Here is a 20,780-nt window from a genome sequence, read left to right on the forward strand (position 1 = left end):
TTGTTCTCCAAATTTTCCTACATGACAGACAGAGGCCAGACAAAGACAGCCTTATTATCAGAGAGTGACTATATGGTCACAAAATTTAGGATCACAGACAGCCGCCGTAAGAATCCCATGCCACCAACTTGACAATCTCACTTGAAGAGACTACCGAATCAAATTTTTCTTTTCTTTTTTCTTCTTTTCTTTTCTTCTCTTTTCCTTTCCTTTCCTTTCCTTTCCTCTTCTCTTCTCTTCTCCTTTCCTTTCCTTTCCTTTCCTTTCTTTTCTTTTCTTTTCTTTTTTTTCTTTAAAAACATTCTTGCTCTGTCATCCAGGCTGGAGTGCAGTGGCACAATCTCGGCTCACTGCAATCTCCACCTTCCCGGTTCAAGCAATTCGTGCCTCGACCTCCCAAGTAGCTGGGATTACAGGCATGCACCACCATGCACAGCTAATTTTTGTATATTTAGTAGAGATGACGTATCGCCCTTGGCCAGGCTGGTCTCCACCTCCTGGCCTCAAGCAATTTGCCCACCTAAGCCTCCCAAAGTGTTGGGATTACAGGCATGAGCCACCGTGCCTGGCTAGAATTTCTAATGAATGAGTAAGACGTCGTAAGCAGTGCTGTTTCACTCATTTCATTTCCCATATTCTCACAAACTCAGCCCAGGAGAGAGTGAAAACTGGAATATCTAAGTGGAAGGGCTCTGAGGGACCATCAAGCCCTATTTCTCAATTTATAGATGGGAATCATAAGGCCCAGAGAAGTGAGGATGCTGACTAAATGTCACCCAGCAAGTGAGTGTCAGAAATAAGATTAAGAGGGAGCTGAGCACACAAGTTCTTGCCAGAGGACACCAGGGCATGTTTTGATGTTGGTGTGGATATAATATTTTCTTGTAGAGTTGAAGGTAGAGAGGAAGGGTGAGTCTAAAGGAATGAAGTAATGTCTTTAGTGGAGACAGAGGCTGAACACCCACAAAGTGAAAGTCAGTAAATTTCTTTTTTTTTTTTTGAAACGGAGTCTCACTCTGTCACCCAGGCTGGAGTGCAGTGGCGCAAACTTGGCTCACCAAAGTCAGTAAATTTCTAAATGGTACCCAGGGTCCCCAATTAAGGCTGCATTTTTTCGTAAATTTTATTGAAAATAAATTAACTATCTTTCTGGTTGCTTCATTCCATTCTGTCTTGCCTAATTTTCAGGCCCATCCAAGCATCTCACTTTCCAAGCAGGTGAAATAAAATTTATGTCTTTGGGACTTGGGATAAATCATGGTTTTGGCCCCTTCTCTCCAATAATTTCTTGGAGAAGGCTGGGTAAGGACCCACCTGGGGTTTTGCCTCTCCTTTCTTCATCCTTTCTCATTGAGGGCATGGTGCCCTACCTCTGCCTCCAGGCCAATTCTCTCCCAGGAACAATCCTGTGCTTAGAACAGGGGACTCCAACGAGAACCAACAAGATCAGCCTCTACCTGGCACCTCCTGCTTTTTCATTAGCCCAAGATCTGTCACATGGACTGATTCTCTGTCACTGGCTTCCTATGTTGTTCCCTCTGCCTCTAACTCTATTACTAAGTTACATGTTTGCTCCCCCAAGTAAGCTCTGAACTCCATTAAACAGGTCTGTGTCTAGAACGCAGTGCTTAAAACATGAATAGGCCCCAAATAAACACTCAGTACATCTTGCTGGAAGAGCAAGGTAGGTGGGGGGGATTGGTAGGTGTGTGAATAGGTAGGTAGCTATGTGGATGGATGGGTGGCTGGTAGAGTGTGATAAGTGGGAAGATGGTTGAGCAGGGAGAGGGATTAGTGAGGAAAGCATGGATGTTTGGGTACATGAATGCATGGATTATGGATGGGTGGATGATTGGGTGAATAAGTGGATTGGATTGAATATAAAGATGGATAGGGTAGTGATGGGATATGTGGGCCTATTGATGGAGGCTGTTTGAATGAAAGGTGGAAGAGTGCATTGGTAGGGGGATGGAGGGAGTTAGGTATAGAAATGATGAATATGTATTTTGATGGGTATGAAAGAGTGTGTGCATGTGTGTGTGTGCAGAGAAAGGGGGAAGAGAGAGGTCAATAATAGGAAGATGAATTAAAGGCTAGATGGGCAAGTGGGTCTGTAGAAGAAAGATGAGTAAGAAAAGTAAGTGGATAGACATATGGAGTAGGCAAATAGCTAAGTTGAAAAGTGTGTCAGTGGAAGGAAAGGAGGGATAGGTGAGTGGGGATTGGGTATTTGCATATGTGTTGAGTGAATGGATAGGTGAGTAAAGGGATTGAATAGTTAGTAAATAGGTGGGTGGAAACATGAATGTACAAATGAAAGCATTAACCAAAGTTAAAGATATAAAAGAATTATATAGAGAACAATTTATGCTACTCTAAAGTAATACATGTGAAAATATAGGAAAAATGGATCAATTTTACCAAAATACAAAAGACCAAAATTTGCAGAAGAGGAGGTAGAAAACCTGCAGACTATAAGATGAAATATTTAAAAATTACTAAAATATACCACTAGAAAGAACCTGATCTAGATGCTTTTGGAGCTGAATTTTGGTAGCCTTCAAAAAATGCTGAATTGCTATATTATGTAAAATATTTCAGAGCATAGAAAAAGTAGCTAGGTTTCCCAATTAGTTCCCATACTCATTTTTTGAAAGTAATATGACCCAAATAGAAAAAACAAATTTAAAAAGACCTATTTTTCTTTTGACTATAGATGTGAAAATTCAAACTATACTATTAGCTAAAAAGAACCAATAATATATTGATACAGCAGTCTGCAATTAAGTTTATTAAGAATGCAAGGATGGCTCAAGAAAATTTAGTAATTTATTATGCCAACAAATTAGAAGAGAAAAATCATTATGTGACTGTATGCTTAAAAGGTATTTGATAAAATTCAGTAGTCATTTTCAGTAGTAGCTATAAATGGATAGGAAATAGGCTTAAAAAGGAAATAACTGGCCAGGCACAGTGGCTCCCACCTGTGATCCCAGCACTTTCGGAGGCTGAGGTGGGTGGATCACCTGAGGTCAGGAGTTTGTGACCAGCTTGGCCAACATGGTAAAACCCCATCTCTACTAAAAATACAAAAAATTAGCTGGGCATGATGGTGGGCACCTGTAATCCCAGCTACTTGGGAGGCTGAGGCAGGAGAATCACTTGAACCCGGGAAGCAGAGGTTGCAGTGAGCCGAGATTGCGCCTGGGCAATAAGAGCAAAACTCCGTCTCACAAAAAAAAAAAAAAAGAAAGAAAGAAAGAAAAGGAAAAAGAAAATAATTTAAGTGCAATAAAACTTATGTATTCCAAATTCAACAACAAATATCTTTTTATAGTGCAGGAGCCATTGACTTTAAAATAAGGAACTAGACAAGGATGGATGCCATTGCCTTTATTTTCATTATTATTTTGGAGGTTCTACACAATACAAGAAGACAAGAAAATAAAGTCATGAAGTTGAAAAAAAGCCAAATATATCATCACTTTCAGATGATGGGATTATATATAAAATCAAAGTAACATCATTCAATATTGTGATACTTAAGATAATTTGGCAAGTTGGATACAAGACAAAACTGACAGCTCTTTATCATGCTACTCATAATTAATGATTTTGATGATAATATTTTCTACTTACTATTCAACGTCTGGGGTCCATACATTTCAGTCCACAATGTGAGCAGCACTTTTCCACCAATGGGCACTCCTCATCCTGCAGGCACTTGGGTTTATCAATCTTGGTACATAGCAAGGGCTTGCGTGGGCAGAAACCTTTTTTGACTTTATGGGGTAAAAGAAAACACTTGACCTTGAAATACTTGGTCATAATTTGAGACAAATTTGAGGAATCTTGGGAATCTCAAACAAGGTTTTATTCTGATTAAGCTTCTTACCTTTCCCCCTACAGTAACAATAGACTGGAGGAGGCAGAGTATCAACTTTCTACGACTAATAACTTGAGGAGCATCAAGAAAAGTCTTACCATCTCTGACTTGTACCATCTGATAGGATTCCTGTCTGCTCCTACAGAATTAATGGATCTGGGTTATATAACCCCAGAGTACCACAGGTGGCAGGAGTATTAGCACACAGAACCTTCTTGTTTTACAAATTGTAGGCATTGAGGCGTATTTAGAGGGAAATGAGTTGCCCAATGCCACATAGAAAGCCAGTAGAAAAGTTGAAGTAGGTTGAAAAGCCTTGGACTCCTGCCACCACACTATACTGAACCTTAGAACCTTAAAGCCACACCTGGACAATCCCTGGGACTACATGGGGAAGTAAACACCTGCCTTAGAGGAGGCAGGAAAGTTGGCTTCTATCCAACATCATTTGCTACTAATGTTTTCCCCAGCCCATCTTACAGGATATGAATATGATGTGCATGCTTTGAAGTTCTGTGCAGACATGAGGGCTTATTAGGAATACACCTCATGGTTATGAATTTTTTATGAATCGGTGAATATTGTCACCTTGCAAGTCATTGAGGAATGAGTCTCAGAAAAAATAAGTTTTCTTGGGGAAGAATAGAGAGCAATGCTATGAATTACTGGCTTTGAAGAACAGCACAATAGTCTTCAGAGGTCAAGAGGTCAATATAACTTGTTGGGCATTAAAAGGGGTTCCCAAAGATCCTCAAAGATGAGCCCAAGGAGCATCTGAGGTTCAAGACACCCCCCACTCCATGGAGACAGCATGACATCCTTGGCACATGCCCAATAGATTTGGGAGGTATATCCCCAATCCTTACCTGTCCAGGCCCTGGCACAAACAAAGCCACACCTGGATTCACAACATTTGTCTGTCTGGGGACAATCGATGTCACTGTGACATGAAGGTGGACACTCCTTACGTTCAGTGAAAGGGAAGAGTGGGCATTGTCCATCCTTAACTAAAATAAGAGCAGATGTGAGCTTCTTAAAACCCCACCCCCATCCCACCACCCTTCAAAGAGCCTTTCCTTCTCTTCAAAGCTAGTATCCCTTTCTGCAACTTGGTTCACCCTACCCTATCCATCTCCAGTAGGCTGTGGAAGAATGAAATGTCTCATCATATCATGGGATATGGTAGAGAGCATGCTGGGCTTGGTGCCTTAAGCCCCATGGTAAAGTCCCAGTCCTGCTACTTGGTGAGTTTCCTTCTCTGTAAAATGAGGATAATTATGTGAAATCTACACAAATCAGTGTAAGCCATTTTAGGGTATTTGGTTTTACTTAGAATGAAATGGGGATCCATCACACTGTTCTCAGTAGAGAAGTGATATGGCCTGACTCATGTTTTGAAAGGGTCATTGTGACTATTGTGTTTATAATAGATTGTAAGGAGGATAGAAGCAGGGAGACCTTTTAAGAGGCTGTTGGGGTAATCCAAGTAAGAAGATGGCTCTTCAGATCAGGGTGGCAGCTGCGGAGGTGGTAAGGTTTTACCAGATTTAGGATCTACTTTCAAGGTAGAACTAAAATTATTTCCTAACTAACTTAATGGATGTTAATTGATAAAGAGAGGCATCAACTGTGATTGTGAAGTTTTTCAACCAAGATGAGAAGCATGGATAGAACCGGTTTGCGTTAGGGGAGTGATGGTAAGAGGTACTGGTTTATGTTTATGTTGAGCTTATTTTTCTGTTTTTGAGACAGGGTTTCCCACTGTCACTCAACGAAGCCTCAATTTCCCCAGCTCAAGTGATCTTTGAGGAGGTGGGAATACCTCCTCAAGTGATCTTCCCAGCCTCCTGAGTAGCTGGGACCATAGGCACGTGACACCATGCCTGTTTTTTTTGTTGTTGTGTTTTTGTTTTTGTTTTTGGTTTTGTTGTTGTTGTTTGTAGAAATTGGGTCTCACTATGCTGCCTAGGCTGGTCTCAAACTCCTGGGCTCAAGTGATCCTCTTGCCTCAGCCTCCCAAAGCGCTAGGATTATAGGTGTGAGCTACTGTGCCTGGCCCGAGGTTCTGTTTAAGCAAGTTCAACATGAGATGTTTGTGAGGTCCAGGTGGAGATGTAGAGCAGATAGTGGATTTTAGGAGTCAGATTAGGGCTGGAGACACAACTTTGTGGGTCATTAGGACATAGGTGGTATTTAAATCAATTCTTTGGGGTTTTGTATGCTCTTGTACTCATCTGACTGCAAATTCTACAAGGGCTTCCCCAGGTCAGGCTCAGGCTATGATGTGTTGAACTCTCAGAGGTATTATCAGGTTGCCTCTGAGTCTTAACCTAAATTTCCCACAAACCAGCCCAAGCCCATTTCCCTGGCCTCCTCTTCCTTGTCTTCCTGGGAGAGGAGACAAGGCTCTTGTCCACAGCACCATGATTCCTTAGAGCTTCCCATGAAGGGAAGCTTGTGGTCCTAGTTTCAAGTCAGGTCCCAGGGTTGCCTTGGCCGTTCAGGCCCATGGGTCCATGGAATTAAAATTCCACCTCTACTCCTGACCAACTGTGGGTCCTCAGGCAACTAACTTCACCTCTCTGACTGTGTTCTCCCATCTGTAAAGTGGTAGTGATGGTACATTTTTCAGCTTGCCTCACAGAATCTGAGGTCGAAATTGCAACGCTGCCTCATAAATCACACAGTTGTGAAGATCACTGGTCACCATCTCAATTGTTACCGTTTAGTGAGCCCACACCACGGGACCACCACTCTATCAAGTCTTTGTGTTTTAAATCACATATAATCCTGCCAACAACTCAACGAGCTGTTTGCTGTGACTCCAGAATTACAGAAGAGGGAACTGAAATTCAAAGAAATGAAGAAAGCAGCAAGTGGGAAAAGTCAGATTTAAATTCAGGTCATTTGACTCCTAAGTTTGGTAGGACACTGTTTCCCAACATTGCTGGTGATGATCATTATACTAAGGAATGAATCCACAGCCTTCACCTTCACCCCACCCTACTCTCCACCTCCAGTGTGGACACTTACTCCATGGGATTCCAGAGCTGGCCTGTCTACACTTCATTCTTAAGCAAATCCTCAGTATGATGCTCAACAGGTTACTATGATGAGGAAACACCTTCTTCCAAGGGGGCACACCTGGCTTTCGGGTCACATTGGCCAAGATCTATTAACATTTTCTATACACTATCTCATTTTTTGGCAGAGCCACTCCATTAGGTAAATACTATTATTAACCTCATTCTATAGACAAGGAAACTGAAGCTTATAAAGGCAGGCAACTGGCCCAAGACCTCCCAGCCAGTGAATGACAGAGCTAAGTCTTGAACCAAGGAACTTTAACCTCAAATCCTGAGCCTATAACCTCATTGGTATACTATTTCTAGTTAAACTAGACCCTCAGATTTCCAGGATAGAGGTCTCACCAATTAACATGCAGGCCGTTCTGCAGGCATCCTCATTTAAGAAGTTGTTGGCATTCCCTTCGCAGCCCCTGTATTTGAAGGGTGTGCAGCGGTAATTTTTAAAGTCAAAATGCCAGCGCTGTGCCTCATGATTACAGTTTCCATGCCTCACAGGTAGCATGCAGGGTTCTGAGGTCAGGAAGCAAGGAAAGAAGGATATGAAGAGTAGAGATAAAAGAACAGGGTCAGTTCCCTAGCATTTCTCATAACTCCTGGTGTTATCACCCAAGTCATAAAAGGAGCCATGGCAGGGGAAAAAAAAAGGCATAGGTTCTGGTCCCAGTTCTACTACTAATAGTCTATGTTGTATGGCACCTCTGAGCATCACTCCTTCCTTGCAAAGAATATTACAAGGTGCATATAAGAATCTTGTACTTTGGAGCTGATCTTTCTTCTCCACTGTCCTGAGCTTTGGTAGGGCAAGACTTGTTCAGCAACTATTAGGTTGATGCAAAAGTAATTATGGTTTTTGCATTGTTAAAATTTGCCATTTGATATTAGAATACATTCTTAAATAAATGTGGTTATATCATATATCATTTTAATGCACATTTCTTGCTTCCTGTACTTTTGCTAATGACTTATTATTTGCTGTTTAATTTATATTTATTTTAGACTATATAAATTATGTCAGACAAAAAGCAAATTCGAGTGATTTTCTCATTTGAGTTGAAAATGGGTCGTAAAGCAGCAGAGACAACTTGCAACATCAACAACACATTTAGCCCGGGAACTGCTAAGAAATATACAGTGCAGTGGTGGTTCAAGAAGTTTTGCAAAGGAGACGAGGGCTTTGAAGATGAGGAGCATTGTGGCTGGTCATTGGAAGTTGACAATGACCAACTGAGAGCAGTCATCAAAGTTGATCCTCTTATAACTACATAAGAAGTTGCCGAAGAGCTCAACGTCAACCATTCTATGGTCATCCAGCATTTGAAGCAAATTGGAAAGGTGAAAAAGCTCGATAGGTGGGTGCCTCATGAACTGAGCAAAATTAAAAAAATATATATTGTTTTGAAGGGTCATCTCTTATTCTGTGCAACAACAACAAACTATTTCTCAATCATATTGTGACGTGCAATGAAAAGTGGATTTTACACGACAACCAATGATGACCAGCTTAGTGGCTGGACCAAGAAGAAGCTCAAAAACACTTCCCAAAGCCAAACTTGCACCAAAAAAGGTCATGGTCACTGTTTGGTGGTCTGCCGCTGGTCTGATCCACTATAACTTTCTGAATCCTGGCAAAACCATTACATCTGAGAAGTATGCTTAGCAAATCGATGAGATGCACTGAAAACTGCAGTGCCTGCAGCCAGCATTCGTCAACAGAAAGGGCCAATTGATCAACAGAAAGGGCCAATTCTTCTCTGCCACAACGCCCAACCACACGTCACACAACCAACACAAAAGTGGAATGAATTAGGCTACAAAGTTTTGCTTCATCCACCATGTTCACCTGACCTCTTGCCAACCGACTACCACTTCTTCAAGCATCTAAACAACTTTTTGCAGGGAAAACACATCCACAAACAACAGGATGCAGAAAATGCTTTCCAAGAGTTCATCAAATCCTGAAGCATGGATTTGTATGCTACAGCAATAAACGAACTTATTTCTCTTTGGCAAAAATATGTTGATTGTAATGGTTCCTATTTTGATTAATAAAGATGTGTTTTGCTTTATTTTCTTTTGTTTTTTTTTGTTTTTTGAGAAGGAGTCTCGCTGTGTCACCCAGGCCGCAGTGCAATGGTGCGATCTCAGCTCATTGCAACCTCTGCCTCCCGAGTTCAAGCAATTCTCCTGCCTCAGCCTCCTGAGTAGCCGGGATTACAGGCACCCGCCAACATGCCCAGCTAATTTTTGTATTTTTAGTAGAGACAAGGTTTCACTGTGTTGGTCAGGCTGGTGTCGAACTCCTGACATCAGGTGATCCACCCGCCTTGGCCTCCCAAAGTGCTGGGATTACAGGTGTGAGCCACCGTGCCCAGCCAATAAAGATGTGTTTAAGCCTAGTTATAATGATTTAAAATTCACGGTCCAAAACCGCAATTACTTTTGCATCCAAAGTGCCTAACAAAGTGCCTAGTACCTAGAAGGAATGAAATACCAAGGAAGAAACAGCCCCTGATGTCTGAAAAGTGATCTGACACTCCCAGCTAAGCCACATGGATTCTCTGTTGGACATTTAAAAAATCTCCTAGAACATCTGTATCAACCAACGTCACTCTGAGATCATGATGAAGTGAGACAAAAACAAGATCACAGTGAAACCTGCAAAATACCAAACACCCGCCCCCCTCTAAGCTAACGTGAGTGACTTATGCTTCTCTACCAATCAATCACAGCTTTATCCTTAGTCTATTCTGTATTCTGTATTGTTAAGATTCCCTGGGATAGCCAGTCATAGAATTGCCCCCGCTTTCTGACAGCACCCAATCTAGAGAAAACTCTCACTTCTTTAGACCCTCCCCCGAATTACCCAATCAAAGCCCAAATCCTATAATAGATTCTTTCTACCAGCTTCTTACTGAAATGCCTCATACTTGTCTAGGGTGAATCTTTTCCCTCACTTCAATAAGTAATAAACCCAATTTGTTCAACTATAGGTGTATTCTGGTGGTCTTTGTTCAAAGGGCATTAACAACAGATATTTGTTGAATGAATAAATGTATGAGTGAGTGAATAAATGAATCTTTTTAAAAAACACACAGTTCCCCGCACATATTAGATAGATGCCCAATACATTGAGTCACCAGAAAACCTCCTTGAAGATCAAAGAGTCTGAAAAACAATGCCAGCATTTAAGCTGACTGAGGTTTTATTTTGTCACAGTGCCATAACAGTCTCTTGAACAGAGTGCGCATGCAACAAGTATTAGTTATTTGTGAATAATTGAATGTTGGACCCAAGAAGACCAGCATCAATATTATGGTGATTGATGGTCACCATGCCTAGACTTATGACTTGTACTTGAGGGTTAGGCATTGAATAACAGAATGAGAAGAGCACAGGCCCTGGGTCCTTGTCCTGCCATCCAAGGGAATCCCTCAGCCAGTTTTGGACAGAGCAAGAAGTGGGGAACCTCTGTCCTCAGCCTGGACATCGCTACCTTGAAAGGGATCCATGCACTTCTTCTGACAGGCAAAAAAGCAGCACTTCTGGTATTCCTTGCAGTCAAAATCTGTGTTACATGAGTCCGGAAGTTCAGTGGTACAGGTGAGCCTCTCTTTGGGACATAACCCTGGTTTGTCTGCAAGAAAGAAATGTCCAAACTCACATTCTTTCGGAATTTCAGCTCTTTTTCTCCTATGGCAAAGGTGTGTAGTGAAATTCTCTCAGCCCTATCCTCTACCTTCGATTCTTAGTTCTTGCTCTGCTTATATTCAGGGGCTAGTTCTGTTTCTCAGCACTCAGATTCATTCAAATGGATCTGAATCAGGAATTTGTGTCCAAGAAGAACTGAAGGAGAAGCATGTTGGATACCAGGGAAAGGGGTTAGAAAGGGACCAAGGCCCTTTCCCTAAATTCAAAAGATTTTCTCTCTTCTTGAAACCTAATATTTTAATGCTTAATTCCTTTGTCTCCAGTTGATAAAAGAAATTAGTAAAGACTGGTGGGAACATCATGGAAGTAGAGGTCAGGAGGGCTGATTTGACCCTTGACTCCTGGTAAACTCAAGACCAATCTGAACTCATTGTATGATTTTTAATTTACCTCTAAGGAGTAAGAAACAGTGGAGTGGAAGAAGCATTGTAGTCAGGCAGACCTGGCTCGGGAGCCTGGCTCCAACACTAACCAACTAAATAATCTTGGGAAAGTATTTCCCTTCATCTGAGTTATATTTTCCATCTTTAAAATGAGAATGACAATTCCTGCCTTACAGGCTGATTATAAGAGTTAAATGGGGTGATGTCTATAATGCCTGGGGTAAGACCTTGGCAGATGTGGCGTTGCTTTCTACCTTTTATTTTTATTTTTATTTTTTTACTAAAAACTAGAAGAGGCAAGGGGAAAAAAACTACAGCACCCAGTGTTTCCAGTCAGTCTCCCATCCAAGTACTAACCAGGTCTGATCCTGCTTACCTTTTGAGATCAGACAAGATCAGGAATTTTCAGGGTGGTATGGCCATGCTTCCTTCCTTTTTAAGGCTAGACATGGCTTCCTGATTTCAGTGCTTGTGGTAGGTAGAATCTAAAGTTGCACCCTCAAGATTCCCATCTTCTGATTATTGAATCAAACACTAAGCTAGGCAATGCTGTGAAGGGATTTTGCAGAAAAATTAAAGACCCAAGTTAGTTGACTTTAAGATTAGAGATTATCTCTAATTTTAAGGTCTAATCTCTGGCCCAGACCTAGTCAATTAGGTCCTTGAAAAGCAGAGTTTTCTTCTGGTTGGTAGAGAAGAATTGATTAGAGAGATTCAAATGATGAGAAGGATCCAACTTGCTATTCGTAGCTTTGAAGATGGTTGAGGCCAAGTGCCAAGGAATAAGGGTGGCATCTAGAAGTGACAGCCAGTAAAGGAGCCTCAGTCCTACAACTCCAAGGAAATGACTCTACTACAACCAGGGAGCTTGGGAGAGGACAGTGCATCCCAAATGAGAACTACAGCCCTGGCTGACATTTCAATCTTGGCCTGGTAAGACCCGGAGCAAAGAACCCAGATGCACAATGCCAGACTTCTGACCCACAGATAATTTGTTACGTAGCAAAGGATAGCTCATACAGCGCTTAATGTGTCTCCATGATTCTAAACTGAGCATCCCTCCAGTGGAATCTGGCCAGAGAGGCATGATCCTTTCAGATACTACTGAGTCTTGGAACTGTAGAACTTTGGAATGGAAAGAACTCTATTTATCATTGGTACCAAACTTCTGATTTCATAGATCAAAAGTAATGAGGTCAGATAGGATAATACAATGCATTAGGGGCAAGTCTGGGACTTACAATCCAGGACTCACTTCAGGAGCCCCACGTCTTCCCTGAGGACTGGCCACTGAGACTTTGAGTACTTTCCAACAATACTTCTTGTCATTAATGACCCCCTCCAGGAATGGACTGAAGCTAAGAAGAGTATGTGGTTCCTAATTTGGAGTGTACATCAAAATCATCTATGCATCTTTCAGAAAATATAGACTCTAGGCTGAATCAGAATCTCTAGAAAGTGCATCCTTGGGACTCCACTTTTTAAAAAGAACCCCAGGTGGTCCTAAAGCAGGCAGTGGGCTCCAGGAGATAGGCTGTTACTTGGGAACCATTGTTCTAGGTTTAGGCAGAGACAGAGTTCGGCAAATCAAACTGGGTTTGAGTTGTTGTAGCTCCTTTCCCCATTGTCAGCTTGAACTCTCACTTATTAATAAAAACCCTCCTCCGTTTCTTGTTGGCTCTTCTTAACCACTTACTTGTGTGTATAAGCATACCTCATGGGTTTCTCTGCATCTACTGGGGATGCTTCTCAGAGATCTGGTCTCAGCTGTCTTCTGACATTACTTGACACATACTTCCTGGGTAATCCCACTCGTTCCCACGATCCCAACTATGATTCCCATCTCTTCCTCCAGACTCATCCTCTATTCCAAACTAAAGACTTTTATTTCGACCTGCCTGGGAAAAACACCATCTGGGCATCTCAGAAGCACCTCTGTTCCAACATATTTAAAACAGAACTATTATCTTCTTATGCCCAAGCACTACCTTACTTTCTATTCCGCATCTTGACATTTGGCATCAACAGGTCCAGTTTGTTATTAGAATCCAGAGATTCACTCCTTCCTCTCCGCCACCCCAGTATCCCATCACTCATGGACTTGGGTCAATTCTGTCTCCTAAACCTCTCTCCAAACCCTGTCTCCTGCCTCTCTTTACTACCACTCCCTCAGATCAGCACCTGATCTCACCCCTTGTCTCTTCTCAACTACTGCAGCAGCCTCCTCACTGGTCCTCTCCCCTCAGGCTCATGCCTAGTGACTTATTAATTAAAAAACAATTAAACTTGCGTGTGTGTGTGTGTGTGTGTGTGTGTGTGTGTGTGTACAGTGGGAATGAATGTAATCACCCAAGAATTATGTGTTGAGTGATATCATAAGACAGATGAGACCAGATCTCTGGGGATCATCCCTAGTAGATGCAAACTATATATATAGTCTCCTTACATATATAAAAATATGGAAAAGTTAGGGAAATAATTTGGGGGGAGCAAGTAAGGAAAGTATGTGGAGGGCCAGGGTCGTGAGCAGGGGTAGCTTTCTGTGGCCCCAAATCCACAGTAGAGGGGGCCTCATCTGACACTGGCACTGGCCTCATGTCTAACCCTCATCCCCAATAATGCTTTCTAAGGAAGAATGGCTGCAGCTTTTTTGAACTCACGTTTGATCTTCTTGGTCAGCATTGCAGAAGTCCACTCCAAAGCAAGGGAGAGAAGCAGCAGGAAAGCTACATTCCTCCAGGAGAAGGTGGGGCTATGGAGAGGAAAGTGCCTGTATGGATGAGAAGAGAGGTGGGAGTTAAGCACAATCCAGAGAGAGACACAAAGTGTGTGCAGGGGAACCTTAGAGATGATCCACCAGGTCCCTTTAGTTCACAGGTAAGAAGACTGACACCAGCATGGGGAAGGAGTCTGTCTGAGGTCAGATGGTGAGTTAAGGTGTGTCTAAGACATTCCGTTTCAGGACCCTGACCAATCCCCATACCCTGCCATGGTGCTGTACCTTGTGCCACACAGACACTTGCCTATTGTCTTGTTCCTGGGTAAAAGGCCACACTTGAATGATCACAAGGATTTATTTGGAACAGTTGCAGAGCTGGTTTGCCCACAGTCACTCCAGGGGCAACCCCAGACACTAGTGAGCATCTTTTCTTTGCTCCACTGATGACAGAAATGGATGGTATGAGATTTCCCAGAGGGCCTGGGCACACTCTACTGGATCTTGGTGCACCAGAAGCAAGAACAATCTCAGATGACCTTGGGTTAACAGAGAAATTCCTTTTATTCCTTCTGTGACTATCCAAGCCTAGGATCTTATGATACTCCCAGACAACCAGATGAACAGATGAGCTTCCCCCGCCTACTCAAGCCCCCATTTCCCATATGTGTCTTCATGATCCTTATGTATTTTTTATTTTAAGGTGTGAAAAACTAATAATCCTTTACTGTATTAACTCTTAGAGTGCATGCATTTCAAAAATGCAAGAGGTGGGTAGAGGGAGAAAGAGGAAGCAAGAGACAGAGAAAACATCTTTATGCCAAAATATACATCTGTATTGGTGGAACTTCCGATACTGAGAAAGCTATGAAGGTATCTTGGAATAGAGTATCTTCCAGAGTTCCTGAAGCCATACCATGTGGCTGCCTAAAAGTAAAGACTTGTGACAATTTATCTCCCCAACCTTTTTTGTTGGGGGAGTTCTAATCATGTATCCTCTTCAAATTTTACAATAGTGCCTATACTCTCTGGTCATGGAAATTATGACCCCAAACATAGTGATCTTGATTTTGGGCCTCGCTCAATCCCTTATAACAGCATATCTTGGATCCTCAATTTCCTCATCTGGAAAATGGGAATAATACAATTAACCTGGAAGCTTTGTTGTCATTGTGAGGATTAAGATGAGATAGCATGAAGATTTAATGAAGTGGTACGGAGTGGTAGGAAACGTAGCATTCAGAGTTAGACCTGAGTTCACATCCTGAATCCACCACTTATCGGCTGTGTGGCCTGGGTTCAGTCACTTCACTTCACTGAGCCTCAATTTGTCATAAAGGAAACAATAATAACACCTACCTCACAGACATGAGAATTACTTGAACTATTTTTGTAAAGCATGACAAGTGGCTTGTAAATCAGTGTTTATTGTATTTTAGCCAGTTAACAAATAATGAATGGCAATAGTGAATGCCAACAAATGTTCCTATTACCATTTTAGCTTTTGAGTTCCCTAGTTAGAGACTGTGTAAATCATTCCTTTAGTTCCCCTAAAAGATTAGCCAAAAGGCCCTCTGGTGCTTTAAATTTTTATTATCAAGTCACTCTATGGGTTTGAAATTTTACCCTCTAACCTGAAAACATCTATTAACCCAGTCTTGAGAATCAGTTAATCAGATTAGCCTGCAGTCAGTTAGAAGAAAGCAGATCTCGTGGGATGGAGGCAGGGGAGAAACACAGATTAATAGAATTGCCAAACATAATAGAGGATGTCCATTTATAATTTTAGCATAAGTATATCCCATGCAATATAAGGAACATAGTTCTACTAAAAAAGTATTTGATGTTTATCTGACATTCAAATTTAATTGGTCATCCTCTATTTTTATTTTCTAAATCTGGCAACTTTGACACAGAATGAATCCATTTTGGTTGGACTGGGGTTTGTTTGGGCAAGAGACTACAAAACACAGGTCTTATAGGTAACAAATGAGCATAATTGCAAGAGTTGCTCAGTGGGGGCTCTGAAGAACTAGGACAGACCTGGAATACTAGGACAGACCTGGAATACTAGGACAGACCTGGAATACACGGACACAAATGTGCTATATAAATAACACACTAGGTTCTGGGCACGGTGGCTCATGTTTGTAATCTCAGCACTTTGAGAGGCCAAGACAGGAGGATCACTTGAGCCCAGGAGTTCAAGACCCACCTGGGCATGGGCTGGGTGCGGTGGCTCACGCCTGTAATCCCAGCACTTTGGGAGGCCCAGGTGGGCGGATTATGAGGTCAGGAGATTGAGACCATCCTGGCTAACACGGTGAAATCCCGTCTATACTAAACAAAATACAAAAAATTAACCGGGCGTGGTGGCGGGTGCCTGTAGTCCCAGCTATTCGGGAGGCTGAGGCAGGACAATGGCGTGAACCCGGGAGGCAGAGCTTTCAGTGAGCCGAGATCGCCGCCACTGCACTCCAGCCTGGGCAATAGAGAGAGACTCTGTCTCAAAAAAAAAAAAAAAAACTTAGCCCAGCATGGCAGCGCACACCTGTGGTTCTAGCTACTTAGGAGGCTGAGCTGGGAGAATCACTTGAGCCCAGGAAGTCAGTGTTTCAATGAGCCATGATCATGCCCCTGCACTTCAGCCTGGGTGACAGAGTGAGACCCTGTGGAGGAAGGGAAAGGAAAGGAAAGGAGAGAAGAGGAGAGGAGAGGAGAAGAGAATAGGGGAGAGGGAGAAAAAAGAAGAAAGAGAGAGTGAAAGAAAGGAAAGAAAGAAAGAAGGAAGGAAGGAAGGAAAGAAAGACAAAGAAGGAAGGAAAAGGAAAGGAAAGGAAGAAAGAAAGAGAAAGAAAGGAAGGAAGGAAGAAGAAAGGAAGGAAGGAAGAAGAGAGAGGGAGGGAAAGGAAGAAAGAGAAAGAGGGAGGGAAAGAAGGAAAGAAGGAAGGAGAGAAGGAAGGAAGGAAGGGAAAAAGGGAGGGAGGGAAGGAAGGAAGGACACACACCAGGAATGAAGAGATTTTGATTGAAATCCACGCTTCACCATCAAATCACTGTGTCAACTTGGGCTAGTTTTACCTCCGTCTACCCATTTGAAATTTTACCTCCGTCTACCCTTTTGAAAAATGAGTGGATTTGACTAGATTAGGCTTGTTCAGGCTGGGGTACCCATATCCCTCAGGATACAGGTAGATTTTCCAGGAGGTACACAGGTACAGAGGGATCTGAGGACATTACTGATTATTAAACTACATATTTACTTTTTCCTGAAGTTGATTTACTTGACAATGAGCCACCCTGAAGTTCTCCTTTTCTTCTTCTCTTTGATTAAGTCCTTCCTCTTTAAATTTTTTTTTAAAAAAAGCATACTTCTTACATATCTCTCACATGTCTTCAAAGTGTAAAAACTTCTGAATTCCAAACAAAGGAACAATTCAAGAATGCATTTTCCTGAGGATGCTTTCCATGGAAGCAAAGGAAAGAAAGTGTGAGTAAGAAATACCAAGGGGTCAGCACCGGTTTCATTCAGGTGGCAAACTCACACTAAGCCACTGTGCCTTTTGCTGTCTACCCTAGAAATAGGATTCAGGAGTGTGATAGTTGCCACGGGGATGTAGATTAAGACATTGATTTGAATTGAAAAATGAAGACATTCTTTTGTGGGAGAAATGAGTTTGACTGATTTGGCTGATGGAGGACTGACTTTGCCAATTAGTTAAATCTGTGCCATCAAGTTTTTTAAAAAATATATTTAAAGTATGCAGTAAGATAAAAGCATTTTATGAAAGTAATCACAAAATTTTAAAAAAATATATTTTTTATAAAATGCTTTCAAACTTTCCTATATTTTGAAACCATAGTATTCAAACTTTCCAGCACTTACAGAGCATTTCAGATTAGATAAGGTCACTAAATGAAAGAATAACATGTATAACTAATCACATTATTAATCGTTTGGTAGATGCTGGTAAAGCCTTTTTAGTTAACTTTCTGGAAATTAAGAAAATCACTTGTGATTTGTGATTAGTATTCTACCAGCTAAAAAAACAAATCCTTTTGCAAGATACCAGGTGTCCAATTCTATGACTTTATAAAAATTGAAGGAGTGTTTAATCAAGCTATTGATTAATAATTAAATTAGATCATTAAAATAATTTTTAAATGCTTAATATTATTTTAATATAATCTCTTGAGATCAATAACATATTGCTAGCCAGGTGCAGTGGCTCATGCCTGTAATCCCAGCATTTTGGAAGGCTGAGTCAGGTGGATCACTTGAGGTCAGGAGTTCAAGACCAGCTTACCCAACATGGTTAAACCCTGTCTCTACTAAAAAATACAAAAATTAGTCGGGCATGGTGGTGCATGACTGTAATCCCAGCTACTCGGGAGGCTGAGGCAGGAGAATTGCTTGAACTTGGGAGGCTGAGGTTGCAGTGAGCCAGGATTGCACCACTGCACTCCAGCCTGGGCAACAGAGCGAGACTCTGTCTCAAAAACAAAAAACAAAAAATAATAAAATAAAATAAATAACATTGCAAAATGTTCTGCAGTAGAAGTGCATTCCTAAATAAGTAAACCCAAGGCAATAGTTGACAAAAAGGCAAATAAATAAGTAACTTTAGTTTAAAATACAGTCACCCTTTGGTATCTTTGGGGGATTGGTTCCAGGAACTCTCATGGATACCAAAATCCTTAGATGCTCATGTCGCTTTTATAAAATGGCATAGTATTTGCATATAACCTACATTCATTCTTCCAAATACTTTAAAGTCACCTCTAGATTGGTAGGTATTTAATACTTACCATTATAAATGCTATGCAAGTAGTTGTTATACTGTATTGGTTTTTATTTGTATTATTTTTATTGTTGTGTTATTTTTTATTGTTTTTTTCTAAATCTTTTCTATCTACAGTTGATTGGACCTGCAGATGCAGAACGTGTGGATATGGAGGGCCAACTGTAAATGCCAAAAAAAAATCAACTTTACAAAATAGCGTTATCAATGTTAACTATTTTCAAATACAAGTAGGGACTGAACATATATGCATGGAATCATGTTCTCATTCACTGACATAAGTGTAAGTGTGCCTCCAAACAAGTTACTATGAGGGTAAATACATAAATATATTCAAAATACACACACTCAAATAATAAGCCACAGATCACCCACCATTTTCCAAGACCAAAATTTTCACATAAATATAAGGGCAAATACAGCCAAATACCAGTGTAAATTAACACGCTTACATACACAGATATGTGAAAATTCCAGAATTCAAAGTGACATGCAGACATGTAACACAGGTGTTTATGCATAAACACACAGCTCGGTCAGAAACGGCCCATACAGAAACAGTGGTCTACTGAAACACAGAATACTGCTGTGACCTTCTCACTAGCGATGAAAACTCAACAGTTCACGATAAAACTGACTTTTAAAATGCTCATGCTTTAAATAATAGAGACAAAGGAACCAGACTTCTAAAGCCACTCTCCACCGCCACTGAATTTCTTATAAGTTGATAATGTGAAGGCAATTTCAAAAACGTAAAAGCACAGGGAGGTTGGTGACTCCCATCTGGAATAAAGATTTGTTAAATGAAATCACTGAAATTGAACAGAGAAACATTCTGTAAAGTTAGCTAAATCATTTTTACCTTTTTTCTTGTTAGAGACAGAACCTCACTCTGTCACTCAGGCTGCAGTGCAGCCGGGCCATCCTAGCTCACTGCAGCCTCAAACTTCTGGACTCAAGCCATCCTCCTGCTTCAGCCTCCTGAGTAGCTGGGATTACAGGCATGCACCACCATGCATGGCTCAAATTCTTTTTACTGTGAAGGCCCTGCTAGAGACTTGCTACTGCTCTAGTTCACATCTTGTAGAGGCAAAACTAAAAAAGCTGTTGCTGTGCGCAGGTGCTGTGGGAGAACCCAAGAAAAATGGTCTGAACTGAAAATCTCCATTTCCACTACCCAATTTCCAACTGGTATACTGTCCACAGAAAATTTGGAGTTGTTCCCTAATGGGAAGCCAAAAACATCAGAGTACAATCATGGATGGCTCAAGGGTATCTTTGTGGTGTGGAATAGTGATGTTTCATAGCCTAAGCCTGTCATAGAGGCCTTGGAGCTTTCAATACTGATGATTGTGCTTCATAAGTGTCTCAGAGAAGTCACTGTTATTTTTTTCTTGTATTCTTCTAGCACTCTCCTCATGGAGGTTATCTCCCTTTTCACAGAGGTCAATTCAACATCCTGGCTCTGTATTTGCTGAGTGTATGTCTTCTCCATCTGTTTCATATGGCCTTCAGCTTTCCTGAAATTGTATTCTTGATAGAGACACACCTGATGTAATGTCCAGAAGGCCAAGTACTTGGGAGCTAATGCCCAACACTATCTCCAGTCACAGTCCAGCCAATACCATAGCTTTATATTCCTGAATTCAGTGCGGACAATATCTAGCCTTCCAGAAAGTGTACTGTTGCAGGCAGGACAGATAGCAGGTGAACCACAAAAGTCACCACTGCCATGCTGATCACAGAAGATGTGAGAGCAGATGGTGACCCATGCATAACCAGAGAGTTCAATGTGACACTCTCGATAATTACAAAACAACATGTCTTCACACAAAGACATAATAGGATAGTGAGGTCTCCAGATGCTGAAAATAGTCCATGAAAGAAATATGCAGTCATCATCCATTGTATATCTAGAATTTACAGCACTGAAGAGGACCAGACTGAAACAGTAAGACTCAGATCTGGTTTTGGCCTTGAAATTTTACTTCTCTGGTATCAGATGAATCCAGCTTCTATGTAGGTATCAAGTTGAACTACAGGATCTATCAGCTACTTAGCATCATCTCTTTATAGTCACATCAGCCTTTAACTCTTCCTTTATTGAGAATTTCCAAATCCAATCCTGCTTGATTTTCAGGGGGTCTGCAGATGACCTTTCACAGGGCCACTTCTGGCCTGGCACACAGGGTGCTA

General features: G+C 41.5%; 1 protein-coding gene and 2 pseudogenes across 3 annotated transcripts in view; all 3 read right to left on the reverse strand.

Moving 5' to 3' along the window:
• Positions 1 to 2,768: 2,768 nt before the first annotated feature.
• Positions 2,769 to 20,780, reverse strand: part of WFDC8 (WAP four-disulfide core domain 8) — a 28,133-nt gene continuing 10,121 nt past the window's right edge. The window contains exons 2-7 of one of the 3 annotated variants that reach the window (NM_181510.3): positions 13,727 to 13,836; positions 10,469 to 10,609; positions 7,318 to 7,485; positions 4,753 to 4,893; positions 3,640 to 3,782; positions 2,769 to 3,229 (exon numbers count right to left, since the gene is read on the reverse strand). In NM_181510.3, coding sequence (NP_852611.2) covers positions 3,643 to 3,782; positions 4,753 to 4,893; positions 7,318 to 7,485; positions 10,469 to 10,609; positions 13,727 to 13,836 — 700 coding nt within the window. In that variant the 3' untranslated portion in view covers positions 2,769 to 3,229; positions 3,640 to 3,642. Of the gene's footprint in view, positions 3,230 to 3,378; positions 4,894 to 7,317; positions 7,486 to 10,468; positions 10,610 to 13,726; positions 13,837 to 20,780 lie in introns of those variants that run through there. The other 2 variants (NM_130896.3, XM_017028119.2) reach the window with 2 other exon arrangements.
• RNA5SP485 (RNA, 5S ribosomal pseudogene 485) lies at positions 11,375 to 11,493 on the reverse strand (annotated as a pseudogene).
• On the reverse strand, positions 19,421 to 20,624 carry CCNB1IP1P2 (cyclin B1 interacting protein 1 pseudogene 2; annotated as a pseudogene).

Source organism: Homo sapiens, chromosome 20, assembly GCF_000001405.40.
Source record: "Homo sapiens chromosome 20, GRCh38.p14 Primary Assembly".
Classification (NCBI taxonomy): Eukaryota; Metazoa; Chordata; class Mammalia; order Primates; family Hominidae; genus Homo; species Homo sapiens.